This window comes from Homo sapiens, chromosome 14, assembly GCF_000001405.40.
Source record: "Homo sapiens chromosome 14, GRCh38.p14 Primary Assembly".
NCBI classification, from domain to species: Eukaryota; Metazoa; Chordata; class Mammalia; order Primates; family Hominidae; genus Homo; species Homo sapiens.
In genome coordinates this window covers 63,592,956-63,618,983 of record NC_000014.9, presented here as the reverse complement: position 1 = coordinate 63,618,983, position 26,028 = coordinate 63,592,956, and the positions used below count along the sequence as shown (strand labels likewise).

Sequence of the window (26,028 nt, the reverse complement as noted above, 5' to 3'; positions counted from 1 at the left end):
TAGACCCACATTTCATTGTTAACTTGACTGGCTAAAAAGACTCCAGGTTAGGGATAATTTTGACTCAGAATTTTCAAGGCATTATTCCTTTTTTCCCCGAGGGTTGCTATTGAGAAGTCTGATGCCGTTAAGATTCTTCAGATTTTTTATGAGACCCCTTTTCTCCGTGGACACTTGTAGAATCTTTCCTTTATCCCCAGCATTATGACATTTCAAGATAATGTGGCTTGGTATGGCTTTCTTTTGCTATCCTTTTTGCTGAAGACTCAGGTTTTTTTTGTTTGTTTGTTTGTTTTTTTCTTTTCTATTTTTCTTTCTGGACTTTTCATTTTTAGGATGTTTGACTTAGATTGATTGATCAATCCTCTGATTTCATTCTTTCTCTTTCTTCTTCTACTTTAGTTGGGAGTATTCCTTAACCATATCTTTTAGCTCTTCTGTGTATTTTGTATTTCTGCTTTCTTATTCTTAATTTCCAAGAATTCTTTCCTGTTGTCTGAATGTTCTTCTTTGTTAAAATACGCCTACAAGCCAGGCACACTGCCTCCTGCTTATAATCCCAGCACTTTGGGAGGCTGAGGCAGGCAGATTGCTTGAGTCCAGGAGTTTGAGACCAGCCTGGGCAACATGGCAAAACCCCATCTCTTATAGAAATACAAAAATTAGCCAGGCATGGTGGCACATACCTGTAGTCTCAGCTACTTGGTAGGCTGAGGCCAGAGGATCATTTGATCCTGGGATGCTGACATTGTAGTGAGGCAAGATTGTGCCATTGTACTCCAGCCTGGGTGACAGAGAGTGAGACCCTGTCTCTCTCTAACACACACACACACCCCTCTAAAAATATGGAATGTTTCACAAACTGGTATGTCATTCTTGTGCAGGGGTCATGCTAATCTGTATCGTACCAATTTTAGTATATATGCTGCAGAAGCGAGCACCATGGTTTTATTTTTAAATGTATGCATCTGAGCATAATCACCACCTAGAATTCTTGTTCTGTTTCTCAGTTTCTATCTCCCCCCAAAATAAGTAGTATTCTTACTTCTACCATTATAGATTTGTTTTGCCTTTTTTAAAACTTTGTATAAATGAAATCCTGTAGTACCTTTTTGTGTCAGGCATCTAACCAATTCTGAGATTCATCCACATTGTTGCATGTACCAGTTGCATGTTTTTTATTGCTATGTAGAATTCTAGGCCAGGCGCAGTGGCTCATGCCTGCAATACCAGCATTTTGGGAGGCCGAAGTGGGCGGATCACTTGATGCCAGGGGTTTGAGACCAGCCTGGCCAACATAGTGAAACCTCGTCTCGACTAAAACTACAAAAATTAGCTGGGCGTGGTGGTGGGTGCCTGTAACTCCAGCAGTTTGTGAGGCTGAGGCAGGAGTATCGCTTGAACCTGGGAGGTTACAGTGAGCCGAGATCATTCCACTGCACTGCAGCCTGGGTTACAATGCAAAACTTGGTCTCAAAAAAACAACAAAAAAAGAGAATTCTATTGTATTAACATACCACAGTTTATCAGTAAGGCCTGTATAAGCAACTGGATAATTATCAAATTGTCCAGTTAATCATCTTATCTTAAAAGCTTGTAATTAGGCCAGGCACAGTGGCGCATTCCCATAATCCCAGCACTTTGGGAGGCTGAGGTTGGTAGATCACCTGAGGTCAGGAGTTTGCAACCAGCCTGACTAACATGGTGAAACCCCATCTCTACTAAATACAAAAAATATATAGCCAGACATGGTGGTGCATGCCTGTAATCCGAGCTCCTTGGGAGGCTTGAGACAGAATCGCTTGTACCTGGGAGGTGGAGGTTGTAGTGAGCCGAGATCGCGCCATTGTGCTCCAGCCTGGGCAACAAGAGCAAAACTCTGTCTCAAAAAAAAAAAAAAAAAAAAGCTTGTAATTAAAGTATTAATAATATACCAACAACATATTTACCTTGCTGCTTAAGCCAGAAACCTAGGAATCTTTTTTTTTTTGAGACAAGAATCATTTTTGACTGCCCTTCTCTCACACCACTTGCAGTTTTACCAGAAAATTCTTTCATATTTGTGACCTACATCCAGCCACTTCTGTTAGAACTCTTTCTCAGAACTTTGCACAAACCTCTAAACTAACTACTTATACTCTTGCCCTTTAGTCTGTTCTCCAGGCAGCAGCCCAAGGAACCCATTCTCAGTGTCTCTTACCTGCTCTCAGCCTACAGTGGCTTTCTTTCTCACTTGAGAATAAAATTCAAAGTTCTTACCATGACCGATGGAGCTCTCCTCTGGCTCCAGTTACCTCTTTAGCCTCATTTTCTACACCCTTCTTTCTTTCTCTGACTTTAGCTGCACTGGCCTACTTGTTGTTTCTCTCTGCCTAGGCAGCTCTTGCTCCATGTAATCCACTCCCTTGCCTCCCTCATTTTGTCCTGGTCTCAGCTCAAATGTCACCTCATGGGGGAAGTTTCCTTTAATGATTGAATAGAAATGGCTTTTCCTGCCTCATTTTTCTTGCCTTACCCTATGTTGTTATTTTTTATAACACTCCTCACTATTTTTATTATTATAATTAGTTATTGGGCTGTATTTCCACCTATCTCCTTCTATCCTGTCCTGCATGAAGAAAGGGACTTCATGACTGTTCTTTGCTGAATTTGTTATGTTCTAGGCCTGTCATGTCATAACCTTTCCAGAATTGTTTTTTTTCTTTGGTTTGGTTTTGGTATTGAGACAGAGTCTCACTGTCACCCAGGCGGGAGTGCAGTGGCGCAATCACAGCTCAACTTGCAGCTGCAACCTCCCTGGGCTCAGGTGCTTCTCCCGCCTCAGCATCTCAAGTAGCTGAGACTACCACCAGGCCACCACGCCCTGTACATTTAGCTCTAAAATACAAAAATTAGCTAAATTTTGTAGAGACGGAGTTTAGCCATGTTGCCTAAGCTGGTCTCAAACTCCTGGGCTCAAACAATCCACCCTCCTCAGGCTCCCAAAGTGCTAGCATTATAGGTGTGAGCCACTGCACCTGGCCAAGAATTGTTTTTGTATTCTTTTTTTTTTTTTTTTTAAAGACAGGGTCTTGCTCTGTCGCCAAGGCTGGAGTGCAGTGGCACCATCTCAGCTCACTGCAACCTCTGCCTCTGAGGTTCAAGTGATTCTCCTGCCTCAGCCGCCTGAGTAGCTGGGAGTACAGACACACACTACCACACCTGGCTAATTTTTGTATTTTTAGTAGGGACAGGTTTCGCCATGTTGGCCAGGCTGGTCTTGAACTCCTGTCCTCATGATCTGCCTGCCTCGGCCTGCCAAAGTGCTGGGACTACAGGCATGAGCCACTGGGCCCGGCTGTTTTTGAATTCTTGAGTAGGGTAATTCTTAAGAACTTTAGAGCAGATTTAATGTTGTTAGAGCTTATCAGTTTCTAACTATAATGTATCCAAGATTTAAGTAGCTGGCTCTTAGATAATGTTAACATCATTCTGTAACAGGATATGGTTCTTTTTGTTTTTCCTCATTTTTTTTGCAGTTATTAAAGATAGCATTTGCTTAATTCTTAAAAGCGTCTTTTCAAAATTAGAAAATGAAGAAATAGTAAACATGTAGTACCAATTCAAGAATTAGATTATTCCGAATTGCTTCTAACTGTTCCAAATTAAGACATCTGGTGACTTAGGGAAATTTGGTTTCTCTGTTTGGTTAACCAGCTGGTTGTTCTGGAAAGGAAAAAGGCAGTTAATTGTTCTTGTTGAAAGATTCTGGGCATTTGTGGAATTACCGTAAAGGGTGACGTTTGGATGCAAGATTTACATGCAAAACTGGACATCTCAGGATGTTATTGAGGAAAATGTTTTTGTTTTTAAAAAGATGCTTTGAATGTTATATCTGGAACCTGCAGCATAATCTCACACTGCATGAGAAAGTATGTGTCATTTCCTCCCAGTCCTCCCCCTTTTCCTTAGTAACAGATTCCTGTACTTTAAAAATTGTGCTTTTCCTGAGAATTTTAATGTATTTAATGCATGGGATGCCATATGTTGCTGCAACCACTATCTTGGACGTTTATGTGAATAAGAATACCATATTCAGACTAGCTAAGCAGGATTAATTTACAGAGACATTGTCTTAGTCATTAATGAATGTGAAATTTAAAATTATATTAGAGTTGTAGCAGATGTCAGTTTAGCATACCTTCCACTAAATATTCAGCAGTTCTTCTGAATTTAAAACAAATGGCTCTTTGGCAAATTGTCTTAGAGCTAATTCTGTGTTAGTTTAAAACATACACATACATTTCTCTAAATTATAAATGTTTTCTGGAAACGATTCTCCTGAAATTAAACCAGTGTATGCTTTTTATCCCAAGGTATTGTTTCCTCTAGGACATACTGGTAACGCATATGTGTGATTGTTCCTATTTTACTCTTCCCTCTTTCTCTGAAATGTTAATAACCAGATTGTTAAGATTCTCCTGTGCAGTTTTGCTTTAGATAAGCTGACATCAGATATGTGTAATATAGCCAGGTGTGGTGACATGTGCCTGTGGTCCCATCTGCTTGGGAGGCTGAGGTAGGTGGGAGAATTGCTTGAGCCAGGGAGGTCAAGGCTGCCGTGAGCTGTGATTGCACCACTGCACTCCAGCCTGGGCCACAGAGTGAGACCCTGTCTCAAAAAAAAAAAAAAGAAAAAAAGAAAAGAAAGGATATGCCTGATAAATATTAAGCTACTTGAATGTCTCGTATAAAGCTTTTGTGGCTGCCAGTAGATTTTTCAGGTTTGCCCCTGGCCTTGTCACTTTACACATTAGCAGCTACTGCTTCCATGTGGCTCTGCTAATACTCCCCCCTTAAAAAGATTAATATGCTACATGCTTATATAGAGACAGTATAGTATAGGAATTAATAGCATGGGCTCTGGAATAAGAATGCCTGAATTCAGAAACTAGATTTACTGCATATTAGCTGTGCTTTTCTCATCAGTAAAATGGATATACTAGTACTTTGGGATTGTCATGAGGTTGTCATCATCATTAAAATTTCAGTAATAGGCTGGGCGTGGTGGTTCATGCCTATAATCCCAGCGCTTTGGGAGGCCAAAGCAGGAGGATTGCTTACATACAGGAGTTCAAGTATGTGAGACCGTGTTTGTATTAAAAAAAAAAAAAAAAAAAAAAGATGTTTAAAAATTTCAGCAGTGGCCGAGTGCAGTGGCTCACACCTCTAATCCCAGCACTTTGGGAGGCCAAGGTGGGTGGATCACAAGGTCATGAGTTCAAAACCAGCCTGGCCAAGATGTTGAAACCCCATCTCTACTAAAAATACAAAAATTAGCTGGGATGGTGGTGGGCACCTGCAATCCTAGCCACTCGGGAGGCTGAGGCAGAGAATTGCTTGAATCCAGGAGGTGGAGGTTGCAGTGAGCCGAGATCACGCCACTGCACTCCAGTCTGGGCAACGGAGTGAGACTCTTGTCTCAAAAAAAAAAAAAAAAATTCAGCAGTATAAAAAAGAGCTGGAATACACAAAAAATAAATAGTATGAAAGAAATGACTAAAATTTAGGTATTTTAATACAAGAGCTTCTGGCTCTTGAAATTTACTTTAAGTTTTTTAAAACAATGAATAACATTAAGAGGTTGGAATCATTGTGTTTTGGAGTTTTTTGGGTTTTTTTCTCACTTGTCCCCTAAGAAGTTACAGGATGCCACCTCTGCAAGCAGATTTGGAGTTTTAAAACTACATGTTTCAGATCTGTTCACCGCTGATTGACTGATGCAGCCAAATGTAGGTTTTCCTGATCAGCAGATAGCCTTTCATCTGGTGATTGGTAGGCTGCGACTCCTTTCATTTTATGGCTATACCATCCTGTAGGACCAAGGAGTCTTCTCCATCGAGCCAGCAGATGAGCAAAGAAAAGGTGGAGAAAACCCATTACCTCTTAATCCTACCCTAACTGTAGCATAAATTGCTTCCACTGGCAAAAACTAATGACATACTGGGGCTGACACAGTCCTTGCTGGGGGACCTGGAATCTGTCCTTTCATCTGAGATCCCATTGAATGTCCTATACCAAATCCCATTCCAACAAGTCCCAGGTATATTCCACTCTTACGGGCTGCTTCTCATTTCCCAAACTGAGCCTGGAGACATTAGAAAATAGCCCTACCAACTCTTCATTCCTTTGCTGAGCTCCTGCAGTAGTAAGTAGGAGTACTTACTACTTTCGAGAGATTTTTTGAGGTTGCCTACCAACTCCCTCAGTTTGCTTCTTTCCAAATTTGGGAGTATTCGTGAGAATTCTTGAAACTTGGCTAGGCATGGTGGCTCTTGCTTGTTGGGATTACAACACTTTGGGGCACTTTGGGAGGCCGAGGCGGATGGATCACCTGAGGTCAGGAGTTTGAGACTAGCCTGGCCAACATGGCGAAACCCGGTCTCTACAAAAAATACAAAATTAGTCGGGCATGGTGGTGCACCCCTGTAATCCCAGCTACTTAGGAGGCTGAAGCAGGATAATCGCTTGAACCCGGGAGGCAGAGGTTGCAGTGAGCAGAGATCCCACCACTACACTCTAGCCCGGGAGGCAGAGGTTGCAGTGAGCAGAGATCCCACCACTACACTCTAGCCCGGGCGACAGAGGAGATTCCGTCTCAAAAAAAAAAAAAAACTTGAAATTTTATTTTTACCTTTCCTTAGTACTGCTTTGGGGAAGGGGATATTGGCATATGGAAAGAGATTCTGTTGGCTCTGCTGTATAATTTCCAGTTTATTATGAAGCTAGATTAGGGACGTGACTAGGGCAGAGATTGTTGGTGGTAGTCCTGATTGGCCTGCTAGAATCATCTCAGGTCTAGAGATGAGTTTGACCGAAGGGCTTTTCAGCATTGGGACATTCCTAGTGTGTTAGTACCAGAAATATTTTTCTGTCTAGAACTATAAACATCAATGATATGTTAAAAATTTTTTGTTGGCCAGGCACGGTGGCTCATGTCTGTAATCCCAGCACTTTGGGAGGCTGAGGTGGGCGGATCACTTGAGCTCAAGAGTTCGAGACCAGCCTGGGCAACATGGTGAAACCCCATCTCTACTAAAAATACAAAAAATTAGCCTGACGTGGTGGTGCACGTCTATAATCCCAGCTACTCGGGAGGCTGAGTCAGGAGAGTTGCTTGAACCCAGGAGGCAGAGGTTGCAGTGAGCCGAGATTGCACCACAGCACTCTAGCCTGGGGGACAGAGCCAGACCCTGTCTCAAAAAATAAAAATAAATAAAAATTTAAAAAAAATTTTTTTTTGGGGGGGATAATGTTAGGTTTACAGAAAAGTTGCAAAAATAGTACAGAGTTCCTGTATACCCTTCACCCAGCCTCCCTAATGTTAACATAACCATGGAACATTTGTCAAAACTAAGAAATTAACATTGGAATAATACTATTAACTAAGAAATTAACATTGGAATAATACTATTAACTAAATGACAGACTTTATTTGGATTTCACCAGGTCTTCCATGAATGTCCTTTTACTAGTCCAGGATCTAATCAAGGATACCATATTGAATTTCATCATCACATCATCATGATCTCCCCCAATCTGTGATGATTTGTTGGTCTTTCTTTCTTTTTCATGATCTTAAAGCTTTTTTTTTTTTTTTTTTTTTTTTGCGACAGGGCCTGGCTCTGTTGCCCAAGCTGGAGTGCAGTGACGCAATCTTGTCTACCGCAACCTCCGCCTCCTGGGTTCAAGTGATTCTCATGCCTCAGCCTTCTTAGTAGCTGGGACTACAAGTGTGTGCCACCACTCCCGGCTAATTTTTGTGTTTTTAGTAGAGATGGGGTTTCAGCACGTTGGCCAGGCTGGTCTCAAACTCTTGGCCTCAAGATCTGCCTGTCTCAGCCTCCCCGAGTGCTAGGATTGCAGGCATGAGCCACTGTGCCTGGTATGATCTTGAAACTTTTGAAGAGTACTGGCCAAGTATTTGTAGAATATCCCTCAAATTAGCCAGGCACAGTGGCTCATGCCTATAACCCCAGCACTTTGGGAGGCCAAGGCGGGCGAATTACAAGGTCAGGAGTTCGAGACCAGCCTGGCCAACATGGTGAAACCCCATCTGTACTAGAAATACAAAAATTAGCCAGGTGTGGTGGTGCATACCTGTAATCTTAGCTACTCAGGAGGCTAAGGCAAGAGAATTGATTGAACCAGGAGGTGGAGGTTGCAGTGAGCCGAGATTGCACCACTGCACTCCAGCCTGGGTGACAGAGTGAGACTCCCTCTCAAAAAAAAAAAAAAAAAAGAAAAGAAAAGAAAAGAATATTCCTCAAATTGGGTTAGTTTGAGGTTTTCTCATGATTAGACTGTGGGGAATAACATAACAGAGGTGAATGAAATGCCTTTCTTATCACATCATACCGGGGGTTCATGATAGGAACATGACATATTGCTGATGATGTTACCCTTGATCAGTTGGTCACAGTGATGTCATCTGAGCTTCTCCACAATTAGGTTACTATCTTTTACCTTTTCTGTACTCTATTCTTCTCTATTCTTTGGATGCGGGTAACTAAGTCCAGCCTACATTCAAGGGGAGGAGAATTCAGCTCTACTTTCTACAGGGGGTATATCTACATATGTTATACTTGAGTTCTGTAAGGAAGATTTGTTCCTTCTCCCTCATTTATTTATTTACTGATTCATTTTTATCAGTATGGACTCATGGATATTTATTTTATTCTTTGGATTGTAATCCAAGAGTTTTTTTTTTTTTTTTTTTTTTTTTAAGACAGAGTCTTACTCTGTCGCCCCGGCCAGAGTGCAGTGGTGCGACTTTGGCTCACTGCAGCCTTCACCTCCCAGGTTCAAGTGATTCTCCTGCCTCAGCCTCCCAAGTAGCTGGGATTACAGGCGTGAGCCACTGCACTCAGATGAGTATTGTTATTTTGTTGTTAAGATTGTTTTAGATTGGCCAATGGAGTTCTTGGCTCCTATGTCTTTTTGTTTTTCCTTTTAAACTCTTCTTTCTCCAAGGAACTCAAGGGCGTTTTTAATAGTTTAAATCCTAAACATTTTGATTGGTATCCAAGATAAGAATCTTGGGAGAGTTCACTGAGAACCTTGGGCAGTGAAACACAGTCATTTTTTGAAACATATTGAAGTTCATATGCTTTTTTGGTTTTGTTTTATTTTATTTTATTTTATTTTATTTTTTTGTTGAGACAGTTTCTCTCTGTCTCCAGCCTGGAGTGCAGTGGCGCGATCTTGGCTCACTGTAACCTCCACCTTCCAGGTATAAGCAATTCTCCTGCCTCAGCCTCCCATGTAGCTGGGATTATAGGTGGGCGCCACCACCCTTGGCTAATTTTTGTATTTTTGGTAGAGAGAGGATTTCACCATGTTGGCCAGGCTGGTCTCCAACTCCTGAGGCTCAGGTGATCCGCCCGCCTCGGCTTCCCGAAGTGCTGGGATTACAGGCGTGAACTACCACGCCCGGCCATATGCTCTTTAGAGGTGTATTTTTCATTATAAAATGAAAAATAAAATCTAAGAAAGCACCGGCTCAATTTGGTGTGGCTGTAGTTTATTCAGATTTGAGAGTTGTTTATTTGATATTGTGTTCATGAAGGTTGCATGTTGTTTTTTTAAATAGTTAATATAAAAGTAACTAAACTGTGTTAAGTTTCTGAACAGCTGTAAGAATCGTAGCTTTTAAAATGTGAAATGAATTTAAATGACTAAATCAAATGAAATGAAAATTAGGAAGGAAATTAATATTTGTTGCATATTTTCTTTATGCCAAGCATTGTACCTTCTGCTTACTTCTGCTTTGTGTTTCTATCACCTCTGTCCTAGTACCAGTCTTCGTTTTTGTTTTTTTGGGTTTTTTTTTTTGAGATGGAGTTTTGCTCTGTTGCCAGGCTGGAGTGCAGTGGCGCCATCTCGGCTCACTGCAGCCTCTGCCTCCCGGCTTCAAGCGATTCCCTTGCCTCATTCCCCTGCCTCAGCCTCCTGAGTAGCTGGGACTACAAGTGCACCACCACACCCAGCCAATTTTTTGTATTTTAGTAGAGATGGGGTTTCACCATGTTGGCCAGGATGGCCTAGATCTCCCAACCTCGTGATCTCCCACCTCAGCCTCCCAAAGCACTGAGATTATAGGCGTGAGCCACCGAGGCACCGCACCCAGCCACCTGTCTTCCTATATTGTAATTGTTTACTTTTCTGTTTCTCAACTTCTTAAAGGCAGAAGGCATGGTCTTCATCCAAATTGCCAGCACTAGGGGTTTTGCTTCTTAAACCTATTTGTGTGTGTGTGTGTGTGTGTGTGTGTGTGTGCATGCACCACACTGGCTGGTTTTTGTTGAGATACTTCACTGCAGTATTTACACTGTACTCCAAATTGACAATCTCTGAAAATATTAATATTTATAAGAAACTAGTAACATTGCCTCCTGGGACAGGAAAGGGACTTGAGGACAGAGATGTTCTAAGATAGTTTGGGGACCTTTTTAATTTTGGACCATTGACTATGTTGTATATTCAAAAATATAAATACATTATTAAAACATACAGAAACTTACTAGACAGATTTTTTTATTTTTTATTGATTTATTTATTTTTTTTGAGAAAGAGACTTACTCTGTTGCCCAGGCTTGTCTTGAACTCCTGGCTGCAAGTGATCCTCCTGCCTCAGTCTCCCAAAGTACTGGGATTACAGGTGTAAGTCACCATGCCCAGCCAGAGGCAATTCTATATTAAGTTGTTTTTTGTTTGTTTGTTTGTTTTGTTTTGTTTTTGAGGCAGAGTCTCACTCTATTGCTCAGGCTGGAGTTCAACGGTACAATCTCAGCTCACTGCAACCTCCGCCTCCCAGGTTCAAGTGATTCTTCTGCCTCAGCCTCCCGAGTAGCTGGGATTACAGGCATGCACCACCACACCCAGCTTATTTTTGTATTCTTAGTAGAGATGGGGTTTCACCATGTTGGCCAGGCTGGTCTCAAACTCCTGACCTCGTGATCTGCCCGCCTTGGCCTCCCAAAGTGTTGGGATTACAGGCATGAGCCACTGCTGCGCCCGGCCTGGGGTTTCTTTCCTTTTTCTTTTCTTTTTTTTTTTTTTTTGAGTCAGACTTTCGCTCTTGTTGCCCAGGCTGGAGTGTAATGGCGCCATCTTGGCTCACTGCAAACTCCGCCTCCTGGGTTCAAGCGATTCTCCTGCCTCAGCCTCCCAAGTAGCTGGGATTACTGGCATGTGCCACCACACCTGGCTAATTTTGTATTTTTAGTAGAGATGGGTTTTCTCCATGTTGGTCAGGCTGGTCTCGAACTCCTGACCTCAGGTGATCTGCCTGCCTCGGCCTCCCAAAGTGCTGGGATTACAGATGTGAGCCACCATGCCTGGCCTGGGGTTTCTTAATTGCCCTTCAGTAAAATATGTATAACTGACTTCTCCATCCCTGATAACTTTTGGGGAATATAATTGTGCTGGATAATGCGCATGTGGGGATTTCTGTTACTGTTCTCTACTCCATGCACATTCCATAATAAAAAGTTTTATCATGCCTGTAATCCCAGCACTTTGAGAGGCGGAGGCGGACAGATCACGAGGTCAGGAGATGGAGACCATCCTGGCTAATATGGTGAAACCCCGTCTCTACTAAAAATACAAAACAATTAGCCGGGCATGGTGGTGGGCACCTGTAGTCCCAGCTACTTGGGAGGCTGAGGCAGGAGAATGGCGTGAACCCGGGAGGCAGAGCTTGCAGTGAACCGAGATGGTGTCACTGCAGTCCAGCCTGGGCAACAGAGCAAGACTCCGTCTCAAAAAAAAGTTTTAAAGAGAAAAGTAGATCACATGAAAAATTAAAAGTAAAGGATGATTGCTTATTGTAACTCTTTTCTGGGTTATTACATGTTTTTACAATCATACACTGCTTCCTTTCTCTTCTGATACATAGAATTTACATGTAATTCCTCCTCTAAAGCCTCATGGGCATATCCCTGGATTAAAGTTGACAGCAGTACTTTAATACTTACATAGAAGATCAATAGCTTAACATTGGAATGAACACAGATTCACAGGTTTTGAAGTTACAACTTGAATTTCAAACCAGACTCCTCCAATATGTTCACTTAGTAGCTATGAGAGCAAGGGCAAATTAGTCTCTCTGAGCTTCAATTTCCTTTGTAAAATAGTGATAATAATATCTGCCTCATAGGGTTAAATGATGAGGATTTAAAAACTGGATAGAAGTTTCGAGCACATAGCCTAGCATTTGGTGAACTCCAGTTATGATTACAGTCATTCATTGCCTAACAATGAGAAATGGGTCATTAGGCAGTTTCATCCTGGGAACATCATGGAGTATACTGTACTTACCCAACCTAGATAGTATAGCCTACTACATACTTGAGCTGTACGGTATGACCTACACTACACTGTACAGCATTTTACTCTACTGAATACTTTAAGCAGTTGTAACACAATGGTAAATACTTGTAGATCTAAACATAAAAAGGTATAATAAAATTATGGTATAAATGATAACAAATGGTATACCTGTAGAGAGCACTTGGCGTGATACTTTTTTCCTCTTTTGTAATAATACTTAGCTTAAAACACAAACACATTGTACAGCTGTACAAAAATATTTTCTTCATATATCCTTATTCCATAAGCCTATTTCTACTTTAATTTTTATTTTATTATTTTCTAATTTTACTTCTAAAACTCTTTTGTTAAAAATTGAGACACAGGCTGGGGACAGTGGCTCATGCCTGTAATCTCACCACTTTGGGAGGCTGAGGCAAGAAGATTGCTTGAGCCCAGAAGTTTGAGACCAGCTTGGTCAAAATAGTGAGACCCTGTCTCTACCAAAAATACAAAAATTAGCTGGATGTGGTGGCCTGAGCCTGGGAGGTTGAGGCTGCAGTGAGCCATGATGGCGCTACTTTGCTGAGTGATGGAACAAGACCCTGCCTCCAAAAAAAAAAAGAAGAAAAAAGACACACACATTAGCCTAGGCCCACACACGGTCAGGATCATCAATTTTGTGGTCTTCTACTCCATGTCTTATCCCACTGGAAGGTTTTTAGGAGCAATAACACATGGAGTTGTCATCTTCTATGAGAACAGTGCATTCTGGAATACGCTTTGAAGGACTTGCCTGAGGCTGTTCACAGTTAACTTCCTTTCAATAAGTAGAGAAAGTCCACTCTAAAATAACGATTAAAAGTATAGTCTTGCCGGGCATGGTGGCTCATGCCTGTAATCCCAGCACTTTGGGAGACCGAGGTGTGTGGATCACCTGAGGTCAGGAGTTCGAGATCAGCCTGGCCAACGTGGTGAAACCCTGTCTCTACTAAAAACACAAAAATTAGCTGGGCATTGTGGCATATGCCTGTAATCCCAGCTGCTTCGGGGGCTGAGGCAGGAGAATTTCTTGAACCCGGGAGGCAGAGGTCGCAGTGAGCTGAGATGGTGCCACTGCATTACAGCCTGGGTGACAAAGCGAAACTCCGTCTCAAAAAAAAAAAAAGTATAGTATTGGACTTTTAAACGAGTAACATAAACCCGTAACATAGTCCTTTATTGTCTTTATGAAGTATTATGTACTGTACATAATTGTATGCACTATACTTTTATATGACTGGCAGTGCAATAGGTTTGTTTATACACGCATCACCACAGACACATGAGTAATGCATTGTGCCATGAATTTGCAGGGACCACAATTAGATGATGGAACTTTCCCAGCTCGTGTGTGTGTGTGTGTGTGTGTGTGTGTGTGTATGTGTATGTATATATGTGTGTGTGTGTGTATATATATATATATAGAGAGAGAGAGAGACAGACAGCACGTGTCTTGCTCTGTCGCCGAGGCTGAAGTGCAGTGGTGCAATCACAGCTCCCTGCAGCCTCAGCCTCCCGGGCTCAAGCATTCCCCTGCCTCAGCCTCCCCAGTAGATGGGACTATAGGCGTGCACCACCATGCCTGGCTAATTTTTGTATTTTTTGTGTAGAGAAGGGGTTTCTTTATGTTGCTCAGGCTGGTTTCAAACTCCTAGGCTAAAGTGATCTGCCTGGCTGCCCGGCTTGGCCTCCCAAAGTGCTGGGATCACACACATGGGTTACCACACCTGGCCTCCATTATAATCTTAACTATCATAAATGTGGTCTGTCATTGACCGCAGCGTCCTTACGTGGTGATTTTAATGTGTGAAAGTTGAATCAGTTAGGCATTAATGTATTCAGCAACCACTTATTAACAAATAAGCAAGAAAGAGTTAGGTAATAAGTTCACCACTAAAACAGGACTTTTTAAAAATTATATTGAGTGAAAAGAGCAAATTGCAAGAAAGATACATATAAATATGGTGCCATTATTCTAAATTCTTAATTATTGGAGTGAAGTTTTACTTGTGTCTGTAATGTTCCATTTTGTTAAACTGAGGCAGATACAGTAAAAAATGTTAATATTTGTTAAGTATAGGTGGTACATGTTTGGGTGTCTTATATTTTTTTCTACACCTTTGTACATTTGAAATACTTCATAATTAAACATTTTAAATTTTGTGTCAGTTTTTTTTTGAGACAGGGTCTTGCCCTGTTGTCCTGGCTGGAGTGCAGTGGCATGATCTTGGCTCATTGCAACCTCCACCTCCCGAGCTCAAGCAGTCCTCCCAAGTAGCTGGGACTACAGGCGTGCACTACCACACCTGCCTCATTTTTGCATTTTTTTGTAGAGGTGGGGTTTAGCCTTGTTGCCCAGGCTGGTCTCGAACCCCTGGGCTCAAGCAATCTGCCTGCCCTGGCTTCTCAACATGCTGGGATTACAAGAATGAGCCACTGCACCTGGCCATCATTTTTAATTTTTAAATTAGTGAAACAGGGTAAGGATGTGATAGGAAATGACAGGGGCTTTTTCACGTTGATTGGCAGTGGAGAGACTCTCTCTGGGCAGGTGACATATGCTGAGACCTGAATAACAGGAAGGAGTCACTCATGCAGACATGCAGGGAAAGAATACTCCAGGCAAACAGCTGTTGCTGCAGTCCTGAGGCAGGAGCAAGCCTGACGTGTTCAAGGTAAGGCTATTTTGTCTGGCGGGAAAACCACAGAACAGTTGTACTGTGCTAGCTACCTCAGCAGCTGTGGAGGTGACTACCCCAGCGTTACTGGAAAATGGTCATTTCATGTCTGAATACTTAAGTTGAAGGAAGAACACCATTTTTAGAGCTACCTAATGCTTCCACGGAGTTTCTCATGTGGGGCTTACAGACTGATGGGGTCCTATCAGAAGGCTTCAGAAGCTGGCTTAAAGGGTCTTAATGGCCAAGTCCAGACACTTTGAGCATCAAAAAGCAACAAAGCGATAGATTATGATACACAGTTTTTAAGAATTGTGATTTCCTAGTCAAAGAAGCAGAGAAAGGAAAAAAGCTCTTGTTTATAGAAGAATGCCTGCTAAGGTAGAAAGAATGATAGAAAAGGACTGTTTTACAGATTCTAGCATAATCATTGATTTAGGCAAGGACAATTAATAGATCCTGAACTCTTTGGATGAAAGTTGTTGAAGAATAGGATATTCAAAAAATTCCATGACATGAAAAACAGAAGGTTGGAGAGATGCTGTTATAGTGAAGTATTTAGGAATGGAGTGATACTTTGTCTGCAGCTAACTCTCATCAAAAGGTTCATTTTTAAAAAGCAGTGGGGTGTGTGTGTGTGTGTGTGTGTAGAGAGAGAAAGCAAATGTGGCAAGAAGTTAACAGTGAACCTAGAAGGTGAACTGTGTGTGTGCATTAGAACTTTTTGTGTGTGCGCACTTATAAATGTTGAAAATTAATGAGCTGTGATGCCATCTCCAAAGGAAAAATAAGTAAAAATAAATGTTGAAAATTAAAAGTTGGAGGGAATGCTTATTTCTATTTTAAACCCAAATCCAGGCTGGGCGTGGTGGCTCACGCCTGTAATCCCAGCACTTTGGGAGGCCGAGGCAGGCGGATCACGAGGTCAGGAGGTCGAGACCATCCTGGCTAACACGGTGAAACCCCATCTCCACTAAAAATACAAAAAAATAAAATAAATTTTAAAAAACCCAAATCCAACTTACTAATATTTTTTGCTGTTTGATGTAATTGTGCTATTTGGAGCTCTCTGATAGATCCAAATTCTCCCTTATATGGTGATACTGGTAATTTTTATATTACATCTTTTTTTTTTTTTTTGAGATGGAGTTTCACTCTTGTTGCCCAGGATGGAGTGCAACGGCGCGATCTCGGCTCACCGCAACCTCCTCCTCCTGGGTTCAAGCGATTCTCCTGCCTCAGCCTCCCGAGTAGCTGGGATTACAGGCATGTGCCACCACGCCTGGCTAATTTTGTATTTTTAATAGAGACGGGGTTTTTCCATGTCGGTCAGACTGGTCTCAATCTCCCGACCTCAGGTGATCTGCCCGCCTTGGCCTCCCAAAGTGCTGGGATTACAGGCGTGAGCTACCATGTCCAGCCATCTTTTTTTTTTTTTTTTTTTTTTTTTGAGTAGGAATCTCACTCTGTTGTTCAGGCTGGAGTGCAGTGGCAAGACCTTGGCTCATTGCAACCTCTACCTCAAGCAGTTCTCCTGCCTCAGCCTCCCGAGTAGCTGGATTACAGGTGTGCACCACAACACCAAACTAATTTTTGTATTTTTAGTAGAGACGGGGTTTTACCATGTTGACCAGACTGGTCTCGAACTCCTGACCTCAGTGATCGCTGCCTCGGCCTCCAGAAGTGTTGGGATTACAGGCATGAGCCACCATGCCTGACCTATTACATCTATTGTGTAGGTACTATGATATGCCATACATTGTGCAGAACACATGGCATGCATTAGTTAATCCTCCTAACAGTTCTTGAGTTAGTACTCATTTCCCCTTTTAAAGATGAAAAGACAGATGCTTAAGAAGATATCACTAAAGCAACAGAAAAAACATTTCATCTTAAGAATGAAAATGAATTTGTTAGACAGGCTAGAAAGAATATTCACTGATGAGAAAGCACAATAGAAGAATTTATTTTATTTTTTTCATTAGTTATTTAGTTTATTATAAAAGAGAAATATGGAAATTATTTACATGATGAAAGATTTCAGAACTTCGGTGGAATGGGCAGCTTCATGTTGATGCCATTTCAATAGTGACTTATTTCAGTTTACGTACTTTCCAAGAACGTCACCATCTCTAAATAGGAAATAATCCTTGTCATCTAGAACTACTTTGGTGCCTCCATGTTATGGGAGAAGAACTTTATCTCCAACTTTCACACGAACTGGTTGAATCTCTCCACCCTTTCCTTTAGAACCCGATCCAACAGCGACTACTGTTGCTTGCAATACTTTTCCTTGAGATTTTTCTGGAAGCATAATGCCTCCTTTGGTTACAGTTTCAACAGCACTCCTTTCAACCAATACTCGGTCAAAGAGTGGAAGAAACTTAAACGCTTGTCCTGCCATGACTCCCTCCACCTCAGACTCGTACTCTGCTCTAGTGTCAAGAATTTATTATAGTGTTACTAGGCATGCATGTTTTTCTGGCCTTGAACTTGTCCTACATACAGCCCACCCTGGAGAGGCAATCTAGTATGGTGGTTTAGAGCACAGTCCGTGAAGCCTGAAGCCAGAATGCCTAGGTTCAAATCCCAGTTCTACTATCACAAGCTGCTACTGCCTTAGAAGGACTTCTCCAGGATTCTATACTGGGAACCTCTGTTGTATTCGTTTCCTATTGCTGCTATAACAAATTACTGCAAACTTAGTTGTTTGAAATAACATTAAGTTTATTATCTTAACGGTTCTGGAGGTCTGAAGTCCAAAATGGATGTCACTGGGCTAAAATTAAGATGTCAACAGGGCTGCATTTCCATTTGGAGGCTTAGAGGACAATCTTTTCTTGCTTTTTAGTTTCTAGAGGCCACTCTCAGCCTCTGTCTTCAAAACCAGCAACATTGTATCTCTCTGTGTCTTTGCCTTTCTTCTATGGGAACCTCTTCCTCTGACTCTTCTGCCTCCCTCTTCCACTTTTGAAGACAGTTGTTACCATATTGGGCCACGGTGATAACAGATAATCTAGGATAATCTCCCTATTTTAAGGTTAGCCTTATATTAGGCTGATAAGCAACCTTAATTCCATGTACAACTTCAGTTTTCCTTTGTAACCTAACATATTCACAGATTCCAGGGATTAAGGCATGAATATTTTTGGGAAACCTTTTTTTTTTTTTTTTTTTTTTTTTTTTTTTTTTTTTGCCTACATATCTATGTTTAAATTCTAAAGTTGTGTAAGGCAGCTGGGGCCAGGAGAAGATTATTCCAAAGTGGAGATCCTTGCCAATCCTGAAGATGACTTGAGTAGAACCAGTAATTGGGTTTGAGCTAAAAGGAACTACTGGGTGGCGTATGTACATGTTTTTTATTCTCTTACTAGCATAAAATATATATAGTAAATTCAGCATTTTTTTTTTCTTTTTTGAGGCAGGATCTCACTTTATTCCCCAGGCTGTATGACAGTGACATGATCATGGATCACTGTAGTCTCAACTTCTGGTCTCAAGCAGTCCTCCTACCTCAGCCTCCTGAGTAGCTAGGACTACAGGCATAGGCCACCATGCCCTGCTAATTTATTTTTTGAAGAGACGGCGGGGGGGTCTCCCCATGTTGCTCAGGCTGGTCTCTAATGCCTGGCCTCAAGCAGTCCTCCTACCTCAGCCTCCCAAAGTGCTGAGATTACAGGTGTGAGCCACCACTCCTGGTAGTGAATTCAGTATTAAAGAGTGATTGAATTAGAAGGCAACTGAGTTTTAGTTACATCATAGGAAGGAAATGATTATAGTATTAGAATACATTTCTGTTGATTGATTGATTCATGCCAGCCCTCAGAGGAAAATGTTCTTGATTTAATTGCAATTTTAGAGAAACTTCAAGTTAAATTTTTTTATGTGTCTCCCTTGTTAAGCATTAATTTTTATTTTTATTATTATTATTTTTTACAGAGTTTTACTACCCTTGGATGCTGCTGTTGACATGGAAAAGATTGAGGAACAATTTGCTAATCTGCACATTGTTAAATGTTCCTTAGGAACCAAAGAGCCCACTTACCTTCTTGGTATAGACACATCAAAGACTGTCCAAGCAGGAAAGGAAAACTTGGTTGCTGTTTTATGTTCTAATGGATCAATCAGAATATATGATAAAGAAAGGTTAAATGTACTACGAGAATTTAGTGGATATCCTGGACTTCTTAATGGAGTCAGATTTGCAAATTCCTGTGACAGTGTATATTCAGCATGTACTGATGGCACTGTGAAATGCTGGGATGCTCGAGTAGCCAGAGAAAAACCTGTTCAGCTCTTCAAGGGTTACCCTTCCAATATTTTTATCAGTTTTGATATTAATTGTAATGATCATATTATTTGTGCTGGTACAGAAAAAGTTGATGATGATGCATTGTTGGTGTTTTGGGATGCAAGGATGAATTCTCAGAATTTATCTACAACTAAAGACTCACTTGGTGCATATTCAGAGACACATAGTGATGATGTCACTCAAGTACGTTTCCATCCCAGCAATCCCAACATGGTAGTCTCAGGTTCATCTGATGGCCTGGTAAATGTATTTGATATTAATATTGATAATGAGGAGGATGCACTGGTTACAACCTGTAACTCAATTTCATCAGTAAGCTGTATTGGTTGGTCTGGGAAAGGTTATAAACAGATTTACTGCATGACACATGATGAAGGATTTTATTGGTGGGATCTTAATCATCTGGACACTGATGAACCAGTTACACGTTTGAACATCCAGGATGTCAGAGAAGTAGTTAACATGAAAGAAGATGCTTTGGACTATTTGATTGGTGGCCTATATCATGAAAAGACAGACACATTGCATGTTATTGGAGGAACAAACAAAGGAAGGATTCATTTGATGAACTGCAGCATGTCAGGACTGACCCATGTGACTAGCCTTCAGGGAGGGCATGCTGCTACAGTCCGTTCTTTCTGTTGGAATGTGCAAGATGATTCTTTGTTGACTGGAGGAGAAGATGCACAGTTGTTACTTTGGAAACCTGGAGCTATAGAGAAGACCTTTACAAAGAAAGAGAGTATGAAAATAGCATCCTCTGTGCACCAACGAGTACGAGTTCATAGTAATGATTCTTATAAAAGAAGGAAAAAGCAGTGATAATGCATTTGGCACTTTGTTTGGTAGGTTTTATAGTTTCAAATAGTCCTTCTTGTTTACTACCCATGGTAGACATGTTTAAAGCTTTATGTAAAAACAAGCCAGTTAGCAAACAGTCCTGGAAAAATATGGTGAGAATGGTTTAATTCCGGTCTTCACATATTCTAAAAAATTTTAAAGCCTCTAAGTATAAAATCAGTGAGTTGAAAGTAAAATTTCTTATTTAAAGAACCCATCTGTTAATGTAGTAAATGTTGGCTTTAAAGAAATAGCTCCGATAAGGACTTTTTAGAAGGAAATACTTGGTAAAACTTAATAAAACAGGTGGTTGGCTGCATTTTTTAAGCCCAGTTTTTTACATTTTAAATTGTCTTTATTGTGTATAAAACCAGATTAGACTATATTCTTCATCTGAGGAGCATCTATATGTTTAATACACCTAATGTATTATGCTGGAGTATTTAAATGTAAGTATTTTAATGAGTAAATAGAATTAACCTTTTTTACAAATGAAATGATAGGCATCTATGTAAAGTGAGAAAAATATGTTTCGTAAATATTTGCATCTTTAATATTGTTAGTAAGTAGTAAACAGGTGTTTTGCTGATTGAAAGGAAGTTATCTTGGTAAATTGAGACTCAAAGTGAAATACAAAAATGAAAATATTTATAATAGGACTCGACTTGGAGAAATTGCTATTCTTCCTGTTGTCCAAACCATAAATCTGAGGATAACCTGGGCTTTTCTCTTTCCTCTTCTCCTAACCAGTTTTTCACCAAGTCCTGTGCCATTTCACCTCCTAACGTCTGTCAGCTATCCTTTTGCCTTTACCTCACCACTATTACCCTAGAGAAGACTTTCATTATTTCTCATCTGGATTACCAGCTCGATCTCTAATCTGCTTCAGTTCATCCTTCTTGCTACTTCTAGGCTAAACATCAAAAACAGATCTGGTAGGGGCGGGGAAATGAGGGGGAAGAAACAAAAACGTGATGGTGCCTCATGCTGCTTAAAATCTTCAGTACATTGATGTTTTGATGGCGGACTACATAAGCGTTAAAAATTGTGTTTTTCAGAATCTTTAAAATATAAGACAGTGCTATCTAGTGAATAAAAAAATTAGTTTGAAAGATATCTGGAGAAATCGCATTCATAAAACAATTGGAAGTGAAACTATTAAAACAATAGGGCTTTTTAAAATTAAAAATATTTAAAATTCAAAAGTAATTAATAGTGTTGGAAGATGTAGGTGAGAAAATATTCCTGAAAGTAGAACTGAAAGAGACAAAGAGAAAAGATGAAAGCCACAGAAGATAAATACAGGGGTCAAAACCAGACTAACAGTTTTAGAAAGTGAAAAAAGTTAAAAAAGAAATGGGGGCAGTGGGTTATTAGAAATAACATAAATGGCTGGTATGGTTTGTCTGTGTCCTCACCCAAATTTCATCTCGAATTGTAATCCCCATAATCCCCATGTGTCTAGGGAGAGACCTGGTGGGAGGTGATTGGATCATGGGGGTGGTTTCCCCTACGATGTTCTCCTGATAGTGGGTGAGTTCTCACAAGATCTGATGGTTTTATAAAGGGCTCTGCCCCTTTAACTCCTCACTCTTTCTCCTGAAGCCTTGTGAAGAAGGTGCTTTGCTTCCCCTTTGCGTTCCCCCATGATTGTAAGTTTCTTGAGGCCTCCCTGGCCATGCTGAACTCTTCAGTCAATTAAACACTTTCCTTTATAAATTACCCAGTCTTGGGCAGTTATTTATAGAGTGTGAAAATGGACTAATATAGTGGCTATTCCAGAACTTCAATCTTTAGATTGAAAGGCACAGCAGAGTGTCAAGTGTAATGAATGAAAAAGATCCACATCAAGGCATAGCACTGTGAAGTTTCAGAGTAAATAGAAAATCCTGCAAGTGTCCGGAAAAAAAAAATCACTTAGGAACAGATTTACAGTTGTGTTAGACTCATTAGCAAATCTGGATGACAAAAGATGGTGGATCAATGCCTTCAGAGTTCTGAGGACAGATTCCTACCTATTTGAATTTACAGCTCTCCAAACTCATGCAGCAAATAGATGATAAATTTTTTGAGATATCCCTTGTCAAATGAATATTTCCTAGTTGTTCTCTGAACCTCAGGAACCAAATTGATACAGCTAACAAAGTATCCATTTGTAACCAAACTCTCATTGACTAAACCCAGGAAATAGTAATTCTATGACCAGTCAGGCTGTCTTCACGTGTGAAGTTAAAAACATTGCAGGTTGGCTGGGTGTGGTGGCTCACGCCTGTAATCCCAGCACTTTGGGAGGCCGAGGCAGGCGGATTACCTGAGGTCAGGAGTTCAAGACCAGCCTGGCCAACATGGTGAAACCCTGTCTCTACCAAAAATACAAAAATGAGCTAGGCATGGTGGCACACGCCTGTAATCTCAGCTACTTGGGAGGCTGAGGCAGGAGAATTGCTTGAGCCTGGGAGGCAGAGGTTGCAGTGAGCCAAAATTGTGCACCATTGCACTCCAGCCTAGACAACAAGAGTGAGACTCTATCTCAAAACAAAACATTGCAGGCATACAAAATCTCAAACTTCACTCTTCATGCCGTTTTTTTCAAAGGCTGCTGAAGGATACACTCCACAGAAATTAAGGAAGTAAATCAAGGAAGAGCAGAGATAGCAAAAATCAGGGAACCAACCTAGCATTGTGGCAAGATAACAGCTTTGCAGCACTATATTCAGTCCAGACTGGAGCAGGACAGAGGATATCAGGAGGGAGATGTCCAGGGAGAAAATTGAACGTATAGGTTACCCAATGCATTTGACCATGTGGAGAACATTGTAAATAGTATAAGTGGATTTAACCCACCAATTAAAAGAGACCCTTAAAAAGGTTGGTGCAAAAGTAATTGCACCAACCCATAGAATACTAACGCATAGAATGAGAGAAAATGTTGGCAAATCATAGATAAGGAACTTGTGTCCAGAACATACGGAGAAATCTTACAACTCGATATTGAAAAGACAACCCAATTTTTAAATTGATCAAAGGATCTGGATAGACATTTCTCCAAAGAAGATATACAAATGGCCAGTATGCACATGCAAAGATACTCAATATCATTAGCAGAGAAATGCAAACCAGAACACTTTACACCCATTAGGATGGCTATAATATTAATAAAAATTGTATCTTCTGAAGATCTGGAGAAATCAGAACCTTTATACACTGCTGGTGGGAATGTAAAATGGTGGAGCTGCTTTGGAAAACAGTCCAGAAGTTCCTCAGGGAGTTGTACAGTTGCCATTTGACCTGGCAATTCCACTCCTAGGTGTATGCCCAGAAGAATTGAGAACATATGTCCACACAGGAACTTGTACATGAGTGTTCATAGTAACATTCATACTAGCCAAAAGGTGGAAAGAATCCAAGCGTTCATCAGTAGATAAACAATGTGGGCGGTGCGCACGGCTTTCGGGCAGGAAGGTGCGCTCTGGCGAGGTAGGAGCAATGTGGGCTGGAAACGCCTGGCGCGCCGCGCTTTCCGGGGTGCCGTGCGGCCGCAGCGCGCAGTCAGTACTGGCCCAGCTGCGCGGCATTCTGGAGGGGGAGCTGGAAGGGATCCGCGGAGCTGGCACCTGGAAGAGTGAGCGGGTCATCACGTCCCGTCAGGGGCCGCACATCCACGTGGACGGCGTCTCCGGAGGAATCCTCAACTTAACGTGCCAACAACTACCTGGGCCTGAGCAGCCACCCTGAGGTGATTCAGGCAGGTCTGCAGGCTCTTTGGAGCTGGCCTTAGCTCGGTCCGCTTCATCCGTGGAACCCAAAGCATCCACAAGAATCTAGAAGCAAAAATAGCCCGCTTCCACCAGCGGGAGGATGCCATCCTCTATCCCAGCTGTTGTGACGCCAACGCCGGCCTCTTTGAGGTCCTGCTGAGACCCGAGGACGCAGTCCTGTCGGACGAGCTGAACTGTGCCTCCATCATCCACGGCATCTGCCTGTGCAAGGCCCACAAGTACCACTATTGCCACCTGGACGTGGCCTACCTAGAAACCAAGCTTCAGGAGGCCCAGAAGCATCGGCTGTTCCTGGTGGCCACCGATGGGGCCTTTTCCATGGATGGCGACATCGTGCCCCTGCAGAAGATCTGCCGCCTCGCCTCTAGATATGGCGCCCTGGTCTTTGTGGATGAATGCCATGCCACTGGTTTCCTGGGACTCACAGGACAGGGCACAGATGAGCTGCTGGGTGTGATGGGCCAGGTCACCATCATCAACTCCACCCTGGGGAAGGCCCTGGGTGGTGCATCAGGGGGCTACACGACAGGGCCTGGGCCCCTGGTGTCACTGCTGCTGCCCAGCCCTATCTCTTCTCCAACAGTCTGCCACCTGCTGTTGTTGGCTGCACCTCTAAGGCCCTAGATCTGCTCATGGAGAGCAACACCATCGTCCAGTCTATGGCTGCCAGGACCCAGTGGTTCTGTAGTAAGATGGAAGCTGCTGGATTCACTGTCTCAGGAGCCAGTCACCCCATCCGTCCTGTGATGCTGGGTGATGCCCAGCTGACCTTGCATGGCGGATGACATGCTGAAGAGAGGCATCTTTGTTATTGGGTTCAGCTACCCTGTGGTCTCCAAGGGCAAGGCCCAGATCCGGATACAGATCTCAGCATTGCACAATGAGGAAGACATTGACTACCACGTGGAGGCCTTCGTGGAAGTGGGGCGGCTGTACAGGGCACTGCCCTGAGCTCTGAGTAGGGACAAGCAGAGCCAAGGTCCACCTACTGCCATAAGGTCAAAGGAGGTTTTCGATCAGCCCAGACCAGAGGCTCTGAGCCCTGAACCAGAGTCCCAGAGCTGGGCTGGGACGTGGCCTGTGCTGAGGGCTGTGAGAATGTGAAACAACAGTATGAAAATTGGCTGTGAAAAAACAAAACAGAACAAAACAAACAACATGGTATATCCATTCAGTGGAATATTATTCAGCCATAAAAATGAATGAATTTTTTTTTTTTTGAGACAGAGTCTCACTCTGTCACCCAGGCTGCAGTGCAGTGGTGCGATCTCAGCTCACTGCAACCTCTGCCTCCCGGGTTCAAGCGATTCTCCTGCCTCATCTCCCAAGTAGCTGGGACTACAGGTGTGCACCACCATGCCTGGCTAAGTTAGCAATACAGTACTTAAACTTGGTGAAAGTTTATATAATAAAAACCTACAGTAGGGACCGGGTGTGCTGGCTCACACCTGTAATCCCAGCCCTTTAGAAGGCCGAGGCAGGCAGAGTGCTTCAGCCCAGGAATTTGAGACCAGCCTAGGCAACGTGGCAAAATCCCATCACTACAAAAATTAAAAATAGATATACAAAAAGTTAGCCAGGTGTGGTGGCATGTTCCTGTAGTCCCAGTTACTTGGGAGGCTCAGGTGGGAGGCTACAGTGAGCCATGATCTCACCACTGCACTCCAGCCTGGGTGACAGAGTGAGACTGTGTCTCAAAACAAACACCAAAACCTACAGTAAACATTATATTTAGTGGAGAAATGTTAGATTAAATGCCTTCCTTTTGAGACCACGACTCACTGGGGAGGCTTATAGTAGTATGGATCCTAATTAATACTATAAGGAAAGATAAACGATTACAGCATGTAAGGATTGGAAGAGAAGAGAAAACCTCTCCTTTGCAAATGATATCTACCTAAAAAATTCAACAATCAACAAACTATTCTAACTCCTAAGAGATTCAGCAAGGTCGCCAGTTATAAATAAGATCAGCCAATGAAAATCCAAAGCATATCATTTCACAATAGGTATAAAAATGTAAAAT

General features: G+C 42.0%; 1 protein-coding gene and 3 pseudogenes across 11 annotated transcripts in view; 2 read left to right on the top strand and 2 right to left on the bottom strand.

Annotated features, from left to right (window-relative positions):
• The window catches only part of WDR89 (WD repeat domain 89), a 44,833-nt gene extending 22,888 nt beyond the window's left edge, over positions 1 to 21,945 (top strand). For 6 of the 11 annotated variants that reach the window (NM_080666.4, NM_001382423.1, NM_001382425.1 and 3 more), the window contains one exon: positions 19,011 to 21,945. In NM_080666.4, coding sequence (NP_542397.1) covers positions 19,042 to 20,205 — 1,164 coding nt within the window. In that variant the 5' untranslated portion in view covers positions 19,011 to 19,041 and the 3' untranslated portion in view covers positions 20,206 to 21,945. Of the gene's footprint in view, positions 1 to 14,797; positions 15,069 to 16,676; positions 16,807 to 19,010 lie in introns of those variants that run through there. The other 5 variants (NM_001382427.1, NM_001382429.1, NM_001382428.1 and 2 more) reach the window with 4 other exon arrangements.
• RNU6-597P (RNA, U6 small nuclear 597, pseudogene) lies at positions 840 to 941 on the bottom strand (annotated as a pseudogene).
• Positions 17,050 to 17,513, bottom strand: HSPE1P2 (heat shock protein family E (Hsp10) member 1 pseudogene 2; annotated as a pseudogene).
• GCATP1 (glycine C-acetyltransferase pseudogene 1) lies at positions 23,677 to 25,132 on the top strand (annotated as a pseudogene).